Source organism: Homo sapiens, chromosome 5, assembly GCF_000001405.40.
Source record: "Homo sapiens chromosome 5, GRCh38.p14 Primary Assembly".
Taxonomy (NCBI): Eukaryota; Metazoa; Chordata; class Mammalia; order Primates; family Hominidae; genus Homo; species Homo sapiens.
In genome coordinates, this window is record NC_000005.10 from 136,147,927 (window position 1) to 136,167,821 (window position 19,895).

General features: G+C 36.1%; 1 protein-coding gene across 6 annotated transcripts in view, besides 1 other annotated feature; it reads left to right on the top strand.

The window, feature by feature from the left end:
• The window catches only part of SMAD5 (SMAD family member 5), a 49,889-nt gene that overhangs the window by 15,082 nt on the left and 14,912 nt on the right, over positions 1-19,895 (top strand). For 4 of the 6 annotated variants that reach the window (XM_024446047.2, XM_024446046.2, NM_005903.7 and 1 more), the window contains 3 exons: positions 5,666-6,237; positions 12,930-13,181; positions 15,346-15,465. In XM_024446047.2, coding sequence (XP_024301815.1) covers positions 5,835-6,237; positions 12,930-13,181; positions 15,346-15,465 — 775 coding nt within the window. In that variant the 5' untranslated portion in view covers positions 5,666-5,834. Of the gene's footprint in view, positions 1-4,748; positions 4,833-5,665; positions 6,238-12,929; positions 13,182-15,345; positions 15,466-19,895 lie in introns of all 6 variants that reach the window. The other 2 variants (NM_001001419.3, XM_017009470.3) reach the window with 1 other exon arrangement.
• Positions 5,280-6,479: an enhancer, noted in NCBI's record as "MED14-independent group 3 enhancer chr5:135488895-135490094 (GRCh37/hg19 assembly coordinates)". NCBI's record gives its function as "activates an origin of replication core promoter dependent on BRD2, BRD4, P300/CBP and CDK7 cofactors, and independent of MED14, by STARR-seq in HCT116 cells {active_cell/tissue: HCT116}" and the evidence as "EXISTENCE:reporter gene assay evidence [ECO:0000049][PMID:35650434]".

A 19,895-nucleotide genomic window follows, 5' to 3' on the forward strand; every position in this document is an offset into this window, starting at 1 on the left:
ATTCATGCCACTCTGTTTCTTTAGTCAGTAATAATGCAGCCCATGTTCTATGCCTTCTATAGAGAATTTCATTTAAAATGAAACCACTGAAAAATGTAGACCACCATTTTATACTAAATGGTGAGTAAAAGGTCTGATTTTATCTTGAAGAATGAAACTAAAATTCTGGGAAAACATTAGCTTATAGTAACTGTAAACATGCATGAATTGTTATAATGAACAAATAATGGATCAAGTGTGAATGGATAAACAATTTTTCCCACAAAATAATTCAGTATCATTATATGACAGCCTTCAATTTGACATTTGTGGCATTAGCTTTAAGTTGTTCTTTTTTTTGCAAAAATATTGATAAAAATATATATACATTTTTTCAAGGACCTCTGTTAAATTCTTTGATAGTCAAGTTACTCTTACCCTCCTCCCGAACAAAGAATGTCTTGCTTACTGATTACTGTAAAAGTGGTAGATTCCCTGAGCTCAGTATTCCTCATCCATGCATCAAGACTACAAAAAAGCACAAACTCATACATATAAAACATGGAGAATCTTATAATACTGAAGGAAAGATTACGTGTTATTCCTTCTATACAACATTCACAAAAAGGCAAAACTATAAAATACATCACATTATCCCCATGGGTCTTGGGGACAAACAAAACCTCAAATAATGTCAATGCTTATGCTGCTTGCTGTGCCCAGAGTAGCAGAGTCTCTAACCCAGGAGTCTTATGTCCTTTGGCACCATCCAGAAGACAGTAACAGACTAACTTGTAAGTGGGGTAAAATCAAATCCTAGATCCTACATTGTTTGCCATCATTTTTATAAACTTTGGAAATCTTGGAATTTTTGCAAAATCTGTAGTCTCACTCATGGTTCATAAGCCATTATGGTGAGGGAGACACTTGTGAATAGGGACTGATTTTATAAGTGATCAGTCACAAGTATGTTTTAAAGATATTTTTAAAAATTGAAATAATCATCTAGTAAAGCACACAGAATTAAAGTGTGTAGCTTAATGAACTTCTGCATATGGTATACATCCATGTCATCATCACCCAGATCAAAATATGGAAAATTTCTAGCTCCCTAGAAGGCTGTCTCATGACCCTTCTTAGTGCTCTTCTGGCCTTGATGGCATAGGTTAGTTTTGCCTGTTTTTGAATGTTGTGTAGATGGAATAATGTGTAATCTTTCCCTCAGAATATATGAGAATTCTCCATGTTTTACACATACTAGTTCTTTCTGTAGCTGTGAAGTATTCCATTTTATGAATTTATTACCAGTATTTACCCACTCTACTGCTGATGAATATTTGGGTTCCAGTTTGGGACTATTATAAATAAAGTTGTTAGGAACATGTACTTGTTTTTTGGTGGACACAGCACTCATTTCTGTTGGATATATACCTAGGAATGGAATTTCTGGGTCATAGGGATCTATGTTTAGCGTTAGTGGATACTGTTAAACAATTTTCAAAAGTGACTGGACTAATGTATATTCCTACTATCAATATATGAGAGTTCCAGTTCTGTATTATCATGAACAGTTAATCTTTTTTTTTTTTTTAAGTGTAGCCATTCTGGTAGGTACCGAGTGAGATTTTACTGTGGTAGTTTTTGTTTTCTTTTTGCATTCATGTGATAACTAATGATATTGAGCCCATTTTCTCATCCAGTGGCTATTTTAATGTCCTCTTTTGTGAAGGATCTGTTCAGATCTTTTGACTATTCACTAATTTTTATGATGAATTTTTCTCCTTTTGTAATGTAAGTTGAGACGTGGATAACAAGTACTCGGGTAGCTTGCACATACCACTTTACCAGTTTGGGAAGTATAGAAAACATTTTTAGAAATAATTTCATCAAAAGTGCTAAGTTTTTTAGTCATTCCATATTTAAAGAGTTGAGTGTGAGATTTGCTCCTCTCCCTGTGCTAGTTTTACTAGTAAGAGTTCTAGGTTTTTAAAACTGACACCTATTGTTCTTTTTGAAACCAATCTCTTGAAGTTTAGTGGCATACCCATTCACCAAAGTCACTGGCCTTTTCTTTGTTTACATTCTCTTTAAACTCTCCCATATGTTTAATCTTCTGCAGTACCATTGTATCTAGTTCTGTCTTTTTAATAGTGCATTATCAGTAACTCACTATCAGGAAACTCTTTCCTAACAGTGAATGTTTCGTAATATTTAGGTGTTTACTTACTGTTCTTTTCACTCTGTTGCAAACTTTTTTTTTTTAGCTCTTTGTGCAAAATCTTAAATCTGTTTCTCATCTTTACCTGGCTAAACCTGTATCTCCAGTCATGACCTTTTCCCAGTGGAGTTTACCACCATTTCTACTGACAAAGCTGCCTTCTGAATGTTTTTAATTCTGTGGGTAGAATTCTCATTTTATCATTATCTTAGTCAACGTGGGTTTAAAATTTGAAATTATCTCTTAATTTCAAGGTACAGTTAGTAGAAAAATCAGTGACCATTCATTAAGTATCATAGTGTGTGGTATGGCACATGCAATGGTCCAGGTGCTGAAGACTACTTCTTAGAAGGATTTTGTACTGTATTTGGGAAGTTATGATATTATTTATGACTTATTAATTAGTTTTTATTATAAATATTCAGTGACCATAGCCTCTTCAGCATTGGGTGGTAAAGGAAGTCTTCACAAAAGGGGATAGATTGGAGCTCATCATTAAGAATGACTAAGATTTCTCTTGGAAGACACAGATGGGCAGAGGGGCAGGGATTTGGATTGGATCAGAAGGTGTGTATAGTGGAAGAGTAATGGGCAAGATTAGATTAGGACTAGATCTAGCCAGTCTCTTAAGTCTTGGTTCGTCTTCTTTCTGAATGCTAATGATTAGAATTCATGTTTGAATAGTACTGTTGAGTTTGTAAAGCTTGTGTTAGATAGACATTAGTACTTTAATATTTCTGTGACTTAGGAACCATCATCTCTATTTTACAGAAAAGTTAATAGGCTTTGAAAAAGTGATACTAGTAAAGAACAGAATCTGGTGGGCACAGTGGCTCAAGCCTATAATGCCATCAACTTGGGAGACTGAGTCTGGTGTGTTTCATTTCCAGGCATATTTTTATTCTCTGATATCATAGATATCTATAAATAACAATTTTTTTGTTTTAAGTTTGATATAGACATCCTTAGAAAGGTATATATATTTTTACAAATTGTTTTTCTTACTCATTTATTTGATAAATGGACACTATTCTAGGTCCAGGGCATCCAGTGGTTTTGAGGGCAGACGAGACTACCTGCATACTAACATTGCATTGGGGAAAACAAAGTAAATAAACAAAGTTGATAATGTAATATCAGATTAGGGTAAATGCTATAAAAAATGAACAGGGTCAGGGGATAGAGAATGTTGTGAGAATGGGCTGTCATGCTATTTTCAATCAAGTGGTCAGGGAATTCCTCTTTCAGGAGGTGACCTTTGAACAACTGAATTAATTTGAGTGAGTATGCTGCGTTAAGTTACGGGAGAAGAGAATTTAGGGGAGAGAACATCAGATGCAAAGACCTCACATAGAAATAACCTTAGAATACTTGAGAAATGGAAAGAAGTTAAGTGTGGTTAAATGCAATTAGGTAGGATAATGGTTAAGAAATGAGTAAGGAGAAGCCAAGGGCCTGATCATGTATGATATTGTATTCAGAATTCTGGTCTTGAAGCTCCTGTCTTTTTGCCTCCCTCTTCCTTAACTGTCTCTCTGTTGCTCATACACATACTCTCTCACACATACGTACACTACCCTATCTAGCCCCCCATTATATTCTAGTGTTCATGAATCAGTCAGCCAGGCCTGTCTCTTATCTAGCCTAGGAAATGCTATGTTCATGTCTGCCTATATATATATTTTTTTGTTTGTGTGCCTTTGCCTTTGACATTTCCCATCTCATCTCAGACAACCAAACCATGGTTTTACTTCCTGACCCACATGGATTTTATCATACATCCTTGATGTAGATGCAACTGAGGTCAGCCCTTCTTACAGTTCATTTAGTACATAACACTTTATACTCTGTGACCTGTTAGTGACAATTATGCTTTCATTCTCTTTGTTATATCTCTCTATTTTAATGTGGCCAGTTTTGTTTGCCTAGGAAAAATCATCCTACATAGGGCTGGGCAAGACAAGGCACAAGGCATATCCATACATAAGGAGGATATCTTTACTTCCCTGTACCCTTCCCCACCATGGTTCCAGCATAGAAGGCTGGATAGCTGCCAGTAGTTGATCGGCATCCAGAACTGTATCTGGTACTTTAGTAGGCTCTCAGTAAGTGTATTTTGAATGAATCAGTTTATTGACTGTTGAGATTAAACCCTACTTGGCATAACTTTTTTTAAAAAGCCCCATCATGGCTATTCACAATACATGGGATGTAACAAAGAATCAATAATTATTTGTTGAGTGTATGTCAGTTTTACTTTACTCTGTGTTTACATTATCTTTATTTACTTTATGTTATTGTCTGGGCTTTAGCTGAGCACATACATTCTTTTCTGGAAAGATGCACCCCAGTCCAGAATAATATTGATGCTAGAATTTTTCAAAGACAAAGCTATAGCTTTTGGCAATTGTAGGCACAAGAAAGGAAGCATCTTTTGTTACACCATTTTTCCAAACGTTATTCTTGTTACTTTAGTAGGTATTTATCGTCTGTGGTTGGCTGTGCAGCGATCTGCAGGAGATCTTACACATTCTTTTTATTCTTTATTTAGAAATGGGATCTCACTATGTTGCTCAGACTGGACGTGATTGAACTCCTGGGCTCAAGTGAGTCTCCCGAATAACTGGGATTACAGGTGTGTGCCACTGAGCCTGGTTTTTACCAGCTTCTATCGGTGGAGTGCCTGTCACTTCCACCTGTCATCATCAGGAGCTTCTTAATGGTGCAGAACAGTGGTTTACCTGGAGCAAGCTCATTAACCAATATAAAATATCACTTAAAATAAGCCGATAGGAATTATAAAATTAGAAACTGACCCTTTTAAAATGAATTTATTCTCTTTAAATTTATTCAACATACTTAGTTTTACAAATAGATACTTGCCATTTTACTGGCAGTTATAATGATTTATTTGAGGGTTTGGTACATCTTATACAACCGTGAATACAATTTGCATCTAATAATGTGACTTCAGTAGTATCATGATTTTTGTCCAAACCTTCTCAGTCTGGGAAACATTTAAAGAGAATAATGACCTTAGAGAAGAGCTGGATTTCTTTTAAGACTTCTATTCAGATCAGGACACAATCACGTTCAAAATTGACATAGCATGTAACATGGATTTCAGTGAAGAAAAGTACTTCAGAATCAAATTTTAGAAGAGTGTTTTAGGGTTTAGTGGCCTAATCAAAGGGAGTCCAGAAGCTATTTTTGGATAATACATAGGAGGTAGAGCAACCTGGTTTTGCCTCTGGTTATCATTTGACATTGCCAGTGTCTTACTTGTTCATATTATGGGGAAGGAATCGAGTGGTCACAGAACTTTTGGAGAAAATTTATCAATTTTTTGTTTACTTTGTAATGCTTTTCTGTTCTTATTTAATAAAATATGCCTTTCGATTATATTAATTTAAATTTGTATATATTGAATTGATTTAAACTAGGATCCTTTCCCCCTTTCTCTTTCAGGACTTGACCCAATGAAAGAAGCATATGGCACTTGTGAAGATAAATGTTACTCCTCCCTTTTTAATTGGAACTTCTGCTTAGGACCTGTGTATGACGTTTCACCTGTGATCTGTTCTTTCGGTAGCCACTGACTTTGAGTTACAGGAAGGTCTCCGAAGATTTGTGTCAAATGACGTCAATGGCCAGCTTGTTTTCTTTTACTAGTCCAGCAGTAAAGCGATTGTTGGGCTGGAAACAAGGTGATGAGGAGGAGAAATGGGCAGAAAAGGCAGTTGATGCTTTGGTGAAGAAACTAAAAAAGAAAAAGGGTGCCATGGAGGAACTGGAGAAAGCCTTGAGCAGTCCAGGACAGCCGAGTAAATGTGTCACTATTCCCAGATCTTTAGATGGACGCCTGCAGGTTTCTCACAGAAAAGGCTTACCCCATGTTATATATTGTCGTGTTTGGCGCTGGCCGGATTTGCAGAGTCATCATGAGCTAAAGCCGTTGGATATTTGTGAATTTCCTTTTGGATCTAAGCAAAAAGAAGTTTGTATCAACCCATACCACTATAAGAGAGTGGAGAGTCCAGGTAGGTCTTATTCCTGAGAAGAATTTGGAAAAACAAAAACAAAAAACCTCTCTTCCTGATATGCATGTAACTAGATTTAGTAATGAAAAGGTTGTATTAGCTTTGTGTTTCCATCTTAAATATTCTAATCTTGGAAGGGCTATTGGATTTTGAGTTTAGCTTTTTATATGTAGGTGATACAATTCTCAGGTGGCTTACTCTAATTCATTATTCACTGTAAGCACCCATATATCTACTCTGCCTTTTCCTGTGGATGACCTGTCTCTGTTTTATTTAAAGCCTAAGCTCCAAGTGTGTACTATATCCCATTCCTTTTTGTCAAATGAAGAACTTTGTTCCTACAGTTATCATCCTTCTCTCCAGCATTATATTTTCCCTTTCTACCAGAGTATTTCTGATAGCATACAAGCATGCCATGATACTACCCATCCTAAAATAAAACTTAAAAAAAAATTCTGCTTTTCACTTCATTCACATAACCCAACCCCAATCACTGCACTGTTTCCACTGGTCCTTTTAGAGGATTCTCCATTTTTATTATCTTTATGTTTCATTTTTTTCTTGTGACTTCTCTAGTTAGTCTTTCTTTCCTACCATTTAACTTGTCGAGATCACTAGTGACTGCCTTTTTATAGGTCAAGGGGTCATTTTTGAGTCTTATCTTACTGTCCGCTCAACTGCATTTGATACAGTTGATCTCCTTCCATCCTACTCAAAACTTTTTCTGTGTTTGGCCCCTAAGACAGTATGCTATCCTGGTTCTCCTACCTCACTGACTGTTCTTGCCCCTCTTTGCTGGCGTATTCTCCTGTTTTCACAGGAGTCAGTCCATGGACCTTTTCTCCATTTATATTATTTCTTTATGTGCTTTCATGCTGTCACATGTCTTAAGATTGTCTATAAGCTGATGCTCACATTTTGAACTCAAGTCAACTTCTCCCTTGAGTTTTAGATTTGTGTATCCAGTTGCCTACTTGACATTTCCACTTGAATATTTATTTATTAAACATACCAAATGTAATATGTCTAAGCGCAGTTTTTTTTCTCTGGTTTCCCCTATTGAAGTGAATGGCAACAGCATTCATGTAATTGCTAATGCCCTAAACTGCAAGGTCATCTTTTATTCTTCTTACTTAAATCCTATATTTAAAATATGAGCAAATGCTGTTTGCTGCACCTTCAAAATATGTCTTAATAAATATGTCACCTCTCATCATTTGTGACATCACTACTTTAGTACAGTACATCATCATCATCACTCACCTTAAGTAGTGTCCTAATTGGTCTTTCTGCGTCTCTTCTTCCCCTTAACCCATTGTGTTTTCCACACAACAGCCAGAATGATTTTTTAAAAACATACTAAATCATGTCAGTTCCTACTGAAAACACTTTCAAGGCTGTCACACTTAAAGAGATTTCTGTAAGACTCTGTATGACCTATCCTCAGAGTTCTCTGTTCCTTGGACTTGCCATACTCCTGTTTCCAGGCTTTAACTCTTGCTGTCTACTTATTCTCCCCCAGGATCTTTCCATGGCACATTTTCTCATTCCATTCAGTCCTTGCTCAAATATCCGCATCACTAATTGACTCTATATTAGATATTTATTTTGTTTATTGACTGACATGAGCAGAGTCTTCCTCTATTTCATTCATTACTCTATCCTTAGTGCTTAGAATAGTATATTGTTGTCTGGCACTTGGTAGGTGATGCTCAGTAAATTTTTTTTATAATGAATGGTATAAGCTGAGCTGCTAGCTGAGTGCATTAGTCATCTATTGCTGCATGACAGATTGCCACAAACTTAGTGGCTTAGCACAATGCATGTTTATTACCTCACAGTTTCTTTGGGTGAGGAGTCCAGTCACATTTAGCTGGGTCCTTTGCAAGGCGCTGTAATCAAGGTGTTGGTTAGGGCCAAGGTCTTATCAGAAGCTCAATTAGGGAAGGATCTGCTTCCAAGCCCATGTGATTGTTGACAGATTTAGTTGCTTTCACATAGCCTTCTTTATAGGTAGTTCACATTCATGACAGCTTCTTCAAAGCCAGTAAGGAAGAGAGGGTCTTCTGGTAAGAAGGACATTATATTCTTGTGGAATGTAATCATACATACGCTGTCACCTTTGCCATATTCTGTTGGTTAGAAGGAAGTGATAGGTCATACTCATACTCAAGCAGGGAGAATTACCCAATGGTTTGAATACCTGGAGGTGGGAATCACAGTGGTTACCTTAGAGTCTATCTGGGTTTCACGTGGAGATGTGTGGTAAAAAGACTGAAAATAACATTGGATGTGGAGACTAGTAGAAAGGATAGCAGATAGCAGTGATTATGCTGTCTGTGAAAGTTCAACTTAAGAGCTTTAGAGTGTCTTTAGACAGTTGGTATGATATGATTCTCAGTTTCTTACTGAGTCCAAGGAAAGCTGATAGCTGAAGGAACTGATGAAGAAAGGAAGATAAAAGGATTTAATAGAGAAGTATAGGCTGAAAAACTCCCAAGCTTGCTATTTGCTAGGAGGGAGTCTAGGAATTTTATGTATTCCCCTATAGCCAAAGTGTGACTAGTAGTCAGCCAGCCAATAGAAATGTCTTATTTTTTGTATACATTTTTCTCAGCTATGATTCATTCTATAGAAAAGACTGGGGCATAGCTCTGATACTTTTAAATAACGGAAAATTTCATGTCTTACTAGTTCAACTATTGGAAAGAGACTATAGAGACCTCATGTTTCGCCCTGAGCCCAAACTCTTGGGGGAAGGGGCAGATTACCCAGCTAGATTAGCTTGCTGACCCCCCATGATTAAGCAGCTATGACGCAGAATGGATCACTTCATATTACCAGTATTAATAAAGTAGTAGAAGGTGGTGGTAGTGATAGTAGTAACAGTGATAGCAATTAATATTTATTGAGCACTGATGGAATAGTGATTCCTTCATGGGGTTAGAAAAGGGTACTGACATTTTACAACCCTTTCAGTTTACTTATGGGTTTATAGATAAGGAAACAAAGACTTAAAAGGGAAGTAACTTAGGCATGCTCACACAGTTAGAATATAGTGGAGTAAGTTTTGCAAAAAGATAAAAAGATGGAGGATAGTTAGAAAGAGATAATGAACATAAGAAAAATAGAGGGCCAACCTAGGTGGTCCTAGGTGTTTAGTTGAATACAGTGCACCCTAAGCTTTTTGGCACCAGGGTCTAGTTTCATGGAAGACAGTCTTTCCATAGAATTGGTTGGGGGATGGTTTTGGGATTATTCAAGCACATTATATTTATTGTGCACTTTATTTCTATTATTACATTGTAATATGTAATGAAATAATTATACATTTCACCATAATGTCAAATTAGTGGGAGCCCTGAGCTTGTTTACCTGCAGCTAGGTTGTCTCATCCAGGCATGATGGGAGACAGTGACAGATCATCAGGCATTAGATTCTCATAAGGAGCGCACAACCTAGATCCCTCATATGTGCAGTTGGCGATAGGATTTGCTTTCCTATGAGAATCTCATGCTGCTACTGATCTGACAGGAGGCGGAGTTCAGGCGGTAGTGAGAGCAATGGGGAGTGGCTGGAAATACAGATGAAGCTTCGCTCACTCTCTCTCACCATCACCTCCTGCTGTATGGCCTGGTTCATAAGAGAGCATGAACTGGGGGGGTTAGGGACCCCTGATCTAATAGACAGTATTGTCTATTGATTAAGACTGTGGGTTCTGGAGCCAGGCTTTCTGGATTTGAATCCTGGTTTTACCAAATACTACCTCAAGCCTTAACCTTTCTGAGATTTAGTTTCCTCATTGTAAAATGGTAATAATACTACCTACCTAATAGGTTGTTATGAGCATTAGATGAGTTGGTGCCTTAAAAAGTACTTGTTAAAACATTAAGTGGCCTGGAATCAGTTTCAAATTAAATATCAATTCTAATAGAATAATATATTCTGGAAATAGAGCATTGAGGAAGATGGCAGAGAGAAAATTTTCCAAGAAATAATATCAAACACTTCCCCAAACTGAAAATTGAAAGGGCTCAGTGACCAAGTAATCAGAACAAAGGATAAAAAAAGCCCCACATGAAATTTTTGTATATCATAGATTAAAAAAAAGATTCTGAAAACTTTCCAGAAAAGAAAGACAGGAAACATATAAAGGACTAGAAATCAGAATACTGGATTTCTCAATGCAGTTCTGGATTCTAGAAGAAAGTAAAGTAGTGCTGTCAAAATTCAGAAGGAAATGTTATCTGCCTGCCGACAAGCAAAAAAAATAAATTTTTATACATGCAGGAAGTCAAGAAAATTCAACTTTTTACTTTCTCTTAGGACACTAATAGAGGATGAGGTCCAGGAAATGTGATCCAGCAGTAGAGAAGGGAAGTCCAAGGACTTCAGACTTGTAGGAGACTTGAGCAGTAACCAATATAGGTTGGAACCAAAAGTTGGAAGATCTGGGCCTGGCACGGTGGCTCACGCCTGTAATCCCAGCACTTTGGGAGGCCGAGGTGGGCAGATCACGAGGTCAGGAGATCGAGACAATCCTGGCTAATACGGTGAAACCCCGTCTCTACTAAAAATACAAAAAATTAGCCAGGCGTGGTGGTCAGCGCCTGTAGTCTCAGCTACTCGGGAGGCTGAGGCAGGAGAATGGCGTGAACCCGGGAGGTGGAGCTTGCAGTGAGCCGAGATGGCGCCAGTGCACTCCAGCCTGGGCGACAGAGCGAGACTCCATCTCAAAAAAAAAAAGATGGAAGATCCAAGGGAAAACGTAGAGTGAATAAATTATTTGATTATTTGTTGTATCCAAGAAATAGTAATGATAGGCGTTTAACAGATCTGTTGGAATTCTGGAAATATTAGTGGAATGTACTTAAAATTAAACAAATGAAGAAACAAGGCAATGGTTAACTTTAGTAAAAACATTGTTCAAGAAAAAGTAGACTCATAGTACACTTGATTCAGCAATGAATTACATGTATGTATATATGAATACTGGATATTGATTTAAGCAAAATGTTATATTTAACTCTATTTTGGGGATGGGAGTGGGATAGAATAATAAAAGAATGCTGCCTCATTTGCCCTAAGAGCAAGTCTACAAATAATATCTTGACTAATAATAGCAATATAAGCATATTATTTAGCAGTACACAAAGTAAATGTTATAAGAGATGGCTAAGAGTTTAAATTTGTTTTCTATAGAAACAGTATATGGGAGGGGGCTAGGAATTGCAGTTTTTGTTATAATCTCTAATAGCATGTCTTTTTTTAAACTGTCCACATATTAACATTATTTTGGATGATATAAAATAATTTTTTAAAAATCGTGCATAGATAATGTACAAGTGAAAGAGAAGCCAGTGATTTTAGCATACCTCTAAAGAAAAAAAAAAGCAAATTCTTACTGAACTGAATTCCTGAGTAGTTATTTCACTAAGTCTCTCAGATTGCTAGCCTGCTAAATGTAGAAATTCTTGCTGCCTAATGCCCTTCTCTCCAATGGCAGCTGCCTCTTGTTCTGCGAGGGGAATAGCAGTTGTTAACACACAGTAGAACAAAACGATTGTAGTCAGATGTTAACCACATATTTAGTATACTAATGCAGTAGAATGAAATGAAACAATAGACAAAAATAGCACAAATACTGACTTAACAGAAACACTGGATTGTTGTGTACATCCCTACTTCAGGGAGGTGAAGTGTGACTTAGGTAGCTTAAAAACAAACTCATTTTGTTGATGCTGAATGATATCAGAATTAAGTTGAGATTTTTCTAAGTGAAACTACATTGACAGATACAGGACAATTGTTAATGAGATGAGTTGTAAATGTTTGAAGAATCAGGTTTGTTTCAGTTTCCTGCATGGAAAGGTAATCAGATATTTGAATGTGATTGGTCACTTGGGTCTTTAGAGAAAGCGAATATTTGAATAAAGTTTATCTCTTAAAAATGTATCTGTTAAAAATGTTTAGACTTTGTTGTGTATATTTTCATTATGGTCATATTTAGAAGACTGATTTTGATTGGAAGGCTTTTACCTAGAGAATATTACCATATTCAATATGGAAAACCGTACTGAACAACGTAAAACATGAGATCTTTCAAACTAAGAAAGATCAAAGTGTTCATAATTGGAAATGTGGAAGTTTTTAGGGCATTCACATAACAGATTCCAACTTCACTCTGTAGTCTTAACTCCTTGTTCAGTGCGTAGGCCAACTGATTTTCTCATCTCCTCTGCCACCCTCCCCTTCTACCTCTTCCCAGCCCTAGTACTCCCATGTGAAATCCTCCTGTATCTTTAAGGTTCAGTCAGGTATGTTTTTTTCTTACAGTATTTTGTTTGATTCTCTGCTAGCTGGGAGCGCTCACCTCTGTTTAACTCCTATTGTGTTAAATTCTCTGTTTTATGGTTGTTTTTTAATATCCTTTATCTCATAGAACAGGAGTGGTATCTTTCTCTGGATTTTCTGTCTTCCAGGGTACCTTATGCAGGCTAAATGCTTACAGAGTTTTGGATTCAGTTTTTATGTAAATAGAGATTCAGGGCTCTATAAAACAGCCCTTTCTAAAAGTAAATTGTTTTAATAGGTTTACAGTCTTACATGAATCCTTTCTACCAACCCCTTAGTGTGGATGGGGCATTTGTTTAGTCATTCCTGACAAATGACTTTTGATTTTTGTTTTTCAGTCTTACCTCCAGTATTAGTGCCTCGTCATAATGAATTCAATCCACAACACAGCCTTCTGGTTCAGTTTAGGAACCTGAGCCACAATGAACCACACATGCCACAAAATGCCACGTTTCCAGATTCTTTCCACCAGCCCAACAACACTCCTTTTCCCTTATCTCCAAACAGCCCTTATCCCCCTTCTCCTGCTAGCAGCACATATCCCAACTCCCCAGCAAGTTCTGGACCAGGAAGTCCATTTCAGCTCCCAGGTAAGACTTTATTTTATTGATACCAAAAAAAAAAAAATTCCTAAGAATCACAGTTGTTCTTACTGTGGGCCCTCTGGGTGAACTGTTACATGCCAAGGTATAATAGCTGTTTCTGACTCTTTATTCTTTAGGTAATTGTTTGATTTCCAGAAGAGTTTAGATTTTATTTTGCCAATTACCGTATGTTTAAAAAATGGAAGTAGCCCTATTTGACTTAAATATTTTCTTCTATTTTATGACACTCAGTACCATTTATTGTCTTTTATATAACTGATACTGTGATGAAAGCTATGGCATTCAATTTAATCTTCAGAATGACTATGTGAGATAGATATTCCTGTTTTACAGATGGAAAAAGAAATTCTAAAGTAAATTTTAAACTTTTAAGTACCTTACCTAGGGTAGGGCTAAGAACTAGAGGTTCAGACCCAGGTTTGTCTAACTCTAAAGTCTGTGATCTTTCACCTTTACTGTGTGGCTTTTCAAATTATTTAAGACTTTAGAAGTTAAAATGAATCCTGGTTATCTTTAGTTAGATAACTGATGAACTGATTTCACTGGAGAAAGATAAGTAGATTTTGTAAAGTTCTAAATTTTGTTAATGGCATGTCATATATGGACATGTCAGTATGTCACTGTCAAGAAATATTTGAACACCTGCTGTTGTCAGGCAGAGTCATATATAAGTACAGTAAGTCCTCACTTGATGTCATTGATAACGTCTTGGAAACTGACTTTAACTGAAACAGCATATTACAAAGCCAGTTTTATCATAGGCTAGTTGATATAAACAAGAGTTAAGTTCTTGTGGTATATTTCTGGTCACAAAAATATCACTAAATTTATAAATAAAGACCCAAGACTCTTCTAATATTAAACATTGAAATAAATGTGAGCTGTGCATATCTTTAAGAAAGATCAATAAAAACAAGACTGTTATTTACTTAATTATTCTAATTCATGGTCATGGGTAGCCAGAGCACATTCCAGCAACTCAGGGCACAAGGTGGAAACCAATCCTGAATGGGACGTGATTAAATCACAGAGTGCACTCACACACACCCCGGCACTCACACTGGGACTGTTTAGACATGCATGCCAGTTCATCTGATGTGCACATCTTTGGGATGTGAGAGGAAACTCGGGTAACCAGAGAAAACTCAAACAAACATGGGGAGAATGTTCAGACTCACACAGACGTGGCCCTGGCTGGGAATGGATTTTTTTTCTCATCAGCATCATAACAAAATGATGCTGAACAAAACACCATTGAACAAAACATTATTCAAGGACCTACAGTATATTCTTTGTGATTTCTCTACTGCAGCAAAATATCAATTGGTATAGTTTTTTCTTTTGAAGAGAAATTAAGTGCCAGCTGTTTAACTTGCTATTAGGAATTTGCTCAAAAACAAATTTTCATAGTTTGTCTTAGATTCAGTGCTAATTGTAGTTCTGTCTCAAAATACATCCTGTACAAAACATTGGGATGAAAGACAAATTCGGTTCTTATTTATAATTACTGAGACAAAAAAGTATAGCTGTAGCTTTTGCAAAATTTTCAACTATGAGTGTTGAAACTCAAAGATTTTCTAGTTAACATTTAGTTTCCTAAGTGAATTACCTAACCATTTAATAGGACACAACAGCCATATTTGGATGTTGCACAAGCGTTAGACAATTGCTGTTAGTGTTGATGGCAAATTTTGAAGGGACATAGTTTTACTTTCCAGTTTTAAATGACAGTATACAGTATGTGCTGATCTTAATAATTTAAAAGTGTCTCTGTAGTAGATATATACCCAAATGAGGAAAATCTGTACTTCAGATTGATATGTAATAGCTGTAGTTTCTCTGAACACATAAAAATAAAGGCAAAATTCTTGACCTTGAATTCTGTTTCAGTGAATTTTAGGACTGATCCTTGTATCCTGGATTACCAGGGATCTGGGCTAAATAAATGTGGATTTGTAGTAGGTTTTCAATTGCCATTAGGTGTGCTGTCTGTTCTCCTTTTCCCTTGCCCTAGGATAGTATCCTACATTTTTTTGTGTGTGATGTTCAGTAATGAAGCTTGCTGGTAATCTTAAGAATTTTCTAAAGCTTTTAGAGTAATAATTTTGAGCAGAATGAAGATTTTAATTATTATTTTTTTTCCTCTTAGCTGATACGCCTCCTCCTGCCTATATGCCACCTGATGATCAGATGGGTCAAGATAATTCCCAGCCTATGGATACAAGCAATAATATGATTCCTCAGATTATGCCCAGTATATCCAGCAGGGGTAAGAGAAGTACTCACTTCATTTATTTTATAGTAGTAGTTGTTTTTAACTTATTGGCTACTTTTTTAAAAACAGCTTTATTGAGGTATAATTTATATGCTATAAAATTTTTTTGTTTTAAGTGTATGATTCAAAGATTTTGGTAAATACACCAAGTTTTGCACCACAGTCTAGGTTTAGAATATTTCCCTAACTCTTTAAAAAGGTTTCTCTGCGTATTTGCAGTCTATCCTCACTCCTATCCTCAGCTCCACATACCCTCTAATCTGTTTTCTGTACCTGTAGATTTTATCTTTTCTGAACATTTTATATAATTGGAATCATGTAATAATGTAGTCTTCTTTCACTTAGCATGTTTTTTCAAGGTTCATCCGTGTTGTAGCATGTATCAATAGTTTGTTCCTTTTTATTGCTTAACAGTACTCCTTTATATAAATATATCACATTTATTCACCAGTCAGTGGGCATTTGAATTGTTTCCGTATTTTGATTATTATAAACATTTGCAGCTGGGCTCAGTGGCTCACGCCTGTAATCGTAGCACTTTGGGAGGCCAAGGCGGGTGGATCCCTTGAGATCTGGAGTTCAAAACCCCAGCCTGGCCAATATGGTGAAACCCCGTCTCTACTAAAAATACAATAAAAATAAAAAATTACCTGGGTGTGGTGGCAGATGCCTGTAATCCCAGCTACTCTGGAGGCTGAGACAGGAGAATCACTTGAACCCAGGAGGCTGAGGTTGCAGTGAGCTGAGAGTGGAGTGCCACTGCACTCCAGTCTGAGCAACAGAGCGAGGCTCCATCTCAAAAAAACAAACAAAAATCGCATGTAAGTCTTTTTGTGGATATTGTTTTATTTCTCTTGGATAGATATCTAGGAGTGCAATTGCTGAATAACATGGTAAGTTTAACTACTTAAGAAAACTATAAAACTTCTCTGAAGCGGCAGTACCATTTTACATTCTCACCAGCAAAGTATGAGGGTTCTATTTTCTCTGCATCCTCCTAACACCTGTTATTGTCTGGCTTTTTAATTATAGCCATTCTAGTGGGTGTAAAGTGCTTATTGTGGTTTTAATTTGCATTTCTCTAATGAGCAATGATGAGCATTTTTTAAATGTACTTGTTGGCCATTTATATATCTTCTTTGATGTGTTTATTTTAAATCTTTTGCCCATTGGGTTGTCTTACTGAGTTGTAAGAATTTTTTGTATATTCTGGATATGAATCCTTTATCAGATATATGATTTGCAAATATTTTCTCTCAGTCTGTGGATTTCTTTTCATTTTCTTAATGACGTCTTTTTGAGGGTAATAGCTTTAAATTTTGATGAAATCCATTTTGTCAGTTTTTTCATTTCTAGATTATGCTTTTGGTGTTGAATTCAAGAAATTTTTGTCTATCCCAAGGTCATGAAAATATTATTTTATGTTTTATTTTAGAAGTTCTATAGTTTTAGCTCTTATATTAGGTCAGTGGTTCCTTTTGAGTTAAGTTTGTATGTGGTATATGGTAAATGTCTACATTAAGTTTTTTGCATATAGAAATCCAGTTGGCTTTGCCATTTGTTGAAAAGAGTATCATTTCTTTGTTGAATTAACATCTTTGTCAGAAATCAATTGACTGTAAATGCCAGGGTTTATTTCAGGACTCTGTTGGCTTACATATCTATACCTCATAGTCTTGATTGCTAAAGCTTTCCTATAAAGGTTTTTCCCCCTATTTTTTTGTTGTTTTGTTTTATTTTTAATTTTTAAATTATTTATTTATTTTAGAGACAGAGTCTTGCTCTGTCATGTCCAGACTGGAGTGCAGTGGCGTGATCATAGCTCACTGGAGCCTCAGACTCCTGGGCTGAAGTGCTCCTCCACCTTAGCATCCTGAGTAGCTGGGACTACAGGCATGCATCACCATGCTTGGCCAATTTTTTTGTTGTTGTTGAGATGGAGTCTTACAGTGTTGCCCAGGCTGGCCCTGTTTTTTTTTGTTTGTTTGTTTGTTTTTTTATGGCAAACTATATATAACATAAATTTTACCATCTTAACTATTTTTAAGTGTACAGTTCAGTGGCATTAAATCCATTTATAATGTTGTGTGACCATCACCACCATCCATTTCTATAGCTCTTTTCACCTTGTAGTATTGAAACTATACCTGTTAAATAAAAATTTCCTATTCTCCTTTTCCCCCAGCCCTTGGCAACCACCACTCTGCTTTCTAATCTCTATGATTTTGACCACTCTAAGTACTTCATATAAATGGAATCATACAATTTTTTTTTTTTTTTTTTTTTTTTTTTTTTTTTTTTTGTGACTGGCTTATTTTTCCTCAGGGCACATCCATATTGTAGCAATGTCAGAATTTCATTTCTTTTTAAGGTTGAGTAATATTCCGTTGTATGTATATACCAAATTTTGTTTATCTATTCATCCATTGATAGACACTTGGATTGCTTTCACTTTTTTGGCTATTGTGAATAATACTACTGTGGACATGGGCGTACACATATCTCTTCGAGATCCTGCTTTCATTTCTTTTGAGTATATACCAGAAGTACAATTACTGGATTACATGGTAATTATATTTATACTTTTTTGAGGAACAGCCATACTGTTTTCCACAGTGGATGTACCATTTTATATTCTCAGCAACAGTGCACACGGATTCCATATTCTTCACATCCTCACCAGCACTTGTTTTCTATTTTTTAGATATTGACCATTTTAATGGGTATGAAGAGATATCTCACTGTGGGTTGTTCTGTATTTTTTTTATCTTTTTTTTTTTTTGGATAATTGACAAATGAAAAATTGTATATCTTTATGGTGTCATTGTGGCTTTAATGCCACTTTGGTTTGAGACCTTAACCTCCTTAGTTTGTCCCAAGTTTAGAAATATGTACTGCTATTTTATACGTTTCTTAAAACAATGTGTTTTTATGTGTTTTCTATGTTTGTGATAATACTGAATGTGTGTTATATTGAGTGCTCTGTATTCCTAAGAGCAGTTAAATTTCCAGACCCCTAATAGTTTTGTTAATGTTTCTATAATGTCTAGAATTTATCAAGAAATCTCATTATATTAATTTGCCTATAATTTAAAATCTACCTTCATTTACCATAAAAATGGAACATGAATTTCTGGATTTGAATTCCTGTTTCTCTACTTATTTGCTTTGCAATGTAGGTAGTTTTTAAATCTCTAAGCCTGAGATTCCCCATTTACAAAATAGGGATGATATGCTGGAATTATTAATATGTTGATTAAATTAGACAATACATGTAATGATTTTAGCACACAACATTAGGCCGTACACAATAAATAGTATTATTTTTCTCCTTTTAAAAATATGGACTGTATTTACTCCACTTTATTCTCCTTTTGAAAATATGGACTGTATTTACTCCACTTAACCTCCTTTTCTTTTCTCCTGATTTTCCAGAGATCATAGTGCCATTTAATAGTGTTATATGTTAGATGTCCATTGGAATGTAATTTGTCTCAACCAAACAACTGAGCCCCTTTAGAGGAACTTGATACTCACATTTTCTCACCTTTGTAGATACCTTTTTCACTAGAATTTCTTCTCATTTCAGTCAGATTATGTGTATTTTCTCCTTTCTTTTTGCCAAAAAAGTGACAAAAAGAAAATCAAAGTTAAACGGCAGTGCCTGGAACCACCTGTTAGCAACAATACGTCTTCTGCCTTGAGCAGAGGCAGTGCTTTTCTGGTTCCTCTTTTCCTTTTAACCAAAATTGCCTTTTTAGTTTCGCCTAGCATTTTTTTTTTTCTATAACCTTCTGCTCGTTCTTAGCTCTAATCTTCCTGATGTTACTCTTATAACTTCATGCAACTCATTTGTACCTGTCTTTAGGAATGGGCCTCTACATGTATAAACTTTGTATAAACTTTAAAATCTGAGCTCTTAAGACTTCTTTGGGCTTACAGTGGTTTATTTTCCTCTCTTCCTTCTCATCTGCATTCTTTGCCATTGAATACTCAGAATTGATTTATTTTCCTCTCTTTCTTCTCATCTGAATTCTTTGCCATATAAAACTCAGAATTGAGTTTTAAAAGTTAAACTATTCTATTAAAAAAATAGTTGGCTGGGCGCAGTGGCTCACTCCTGTAATCCCAGCACTTTGGGAGGCCGAGGCAGGCAGATCATCTGAGGCTCAGGAGTTTGAGACCAGCCTGGCCAACATAGTGAAATCCCATCTCTACTAAAATACAAAAATTAGCCGGGCTTGCTGGTGGGTGCTTGTAATCCCACCTGCTCGGGAGGCTGAGGCTGGAGAATCACTTGAACCTGGGAGGTGGAGGTTGCAGTGAGCCGAGATCATGCTACTGTGCTCAATCATGGATGACAGAGCGAGATTCCATCTCAAAAAAAAAAAAAAAAAAGTTAACCAATTATTTTAAATTGCCTA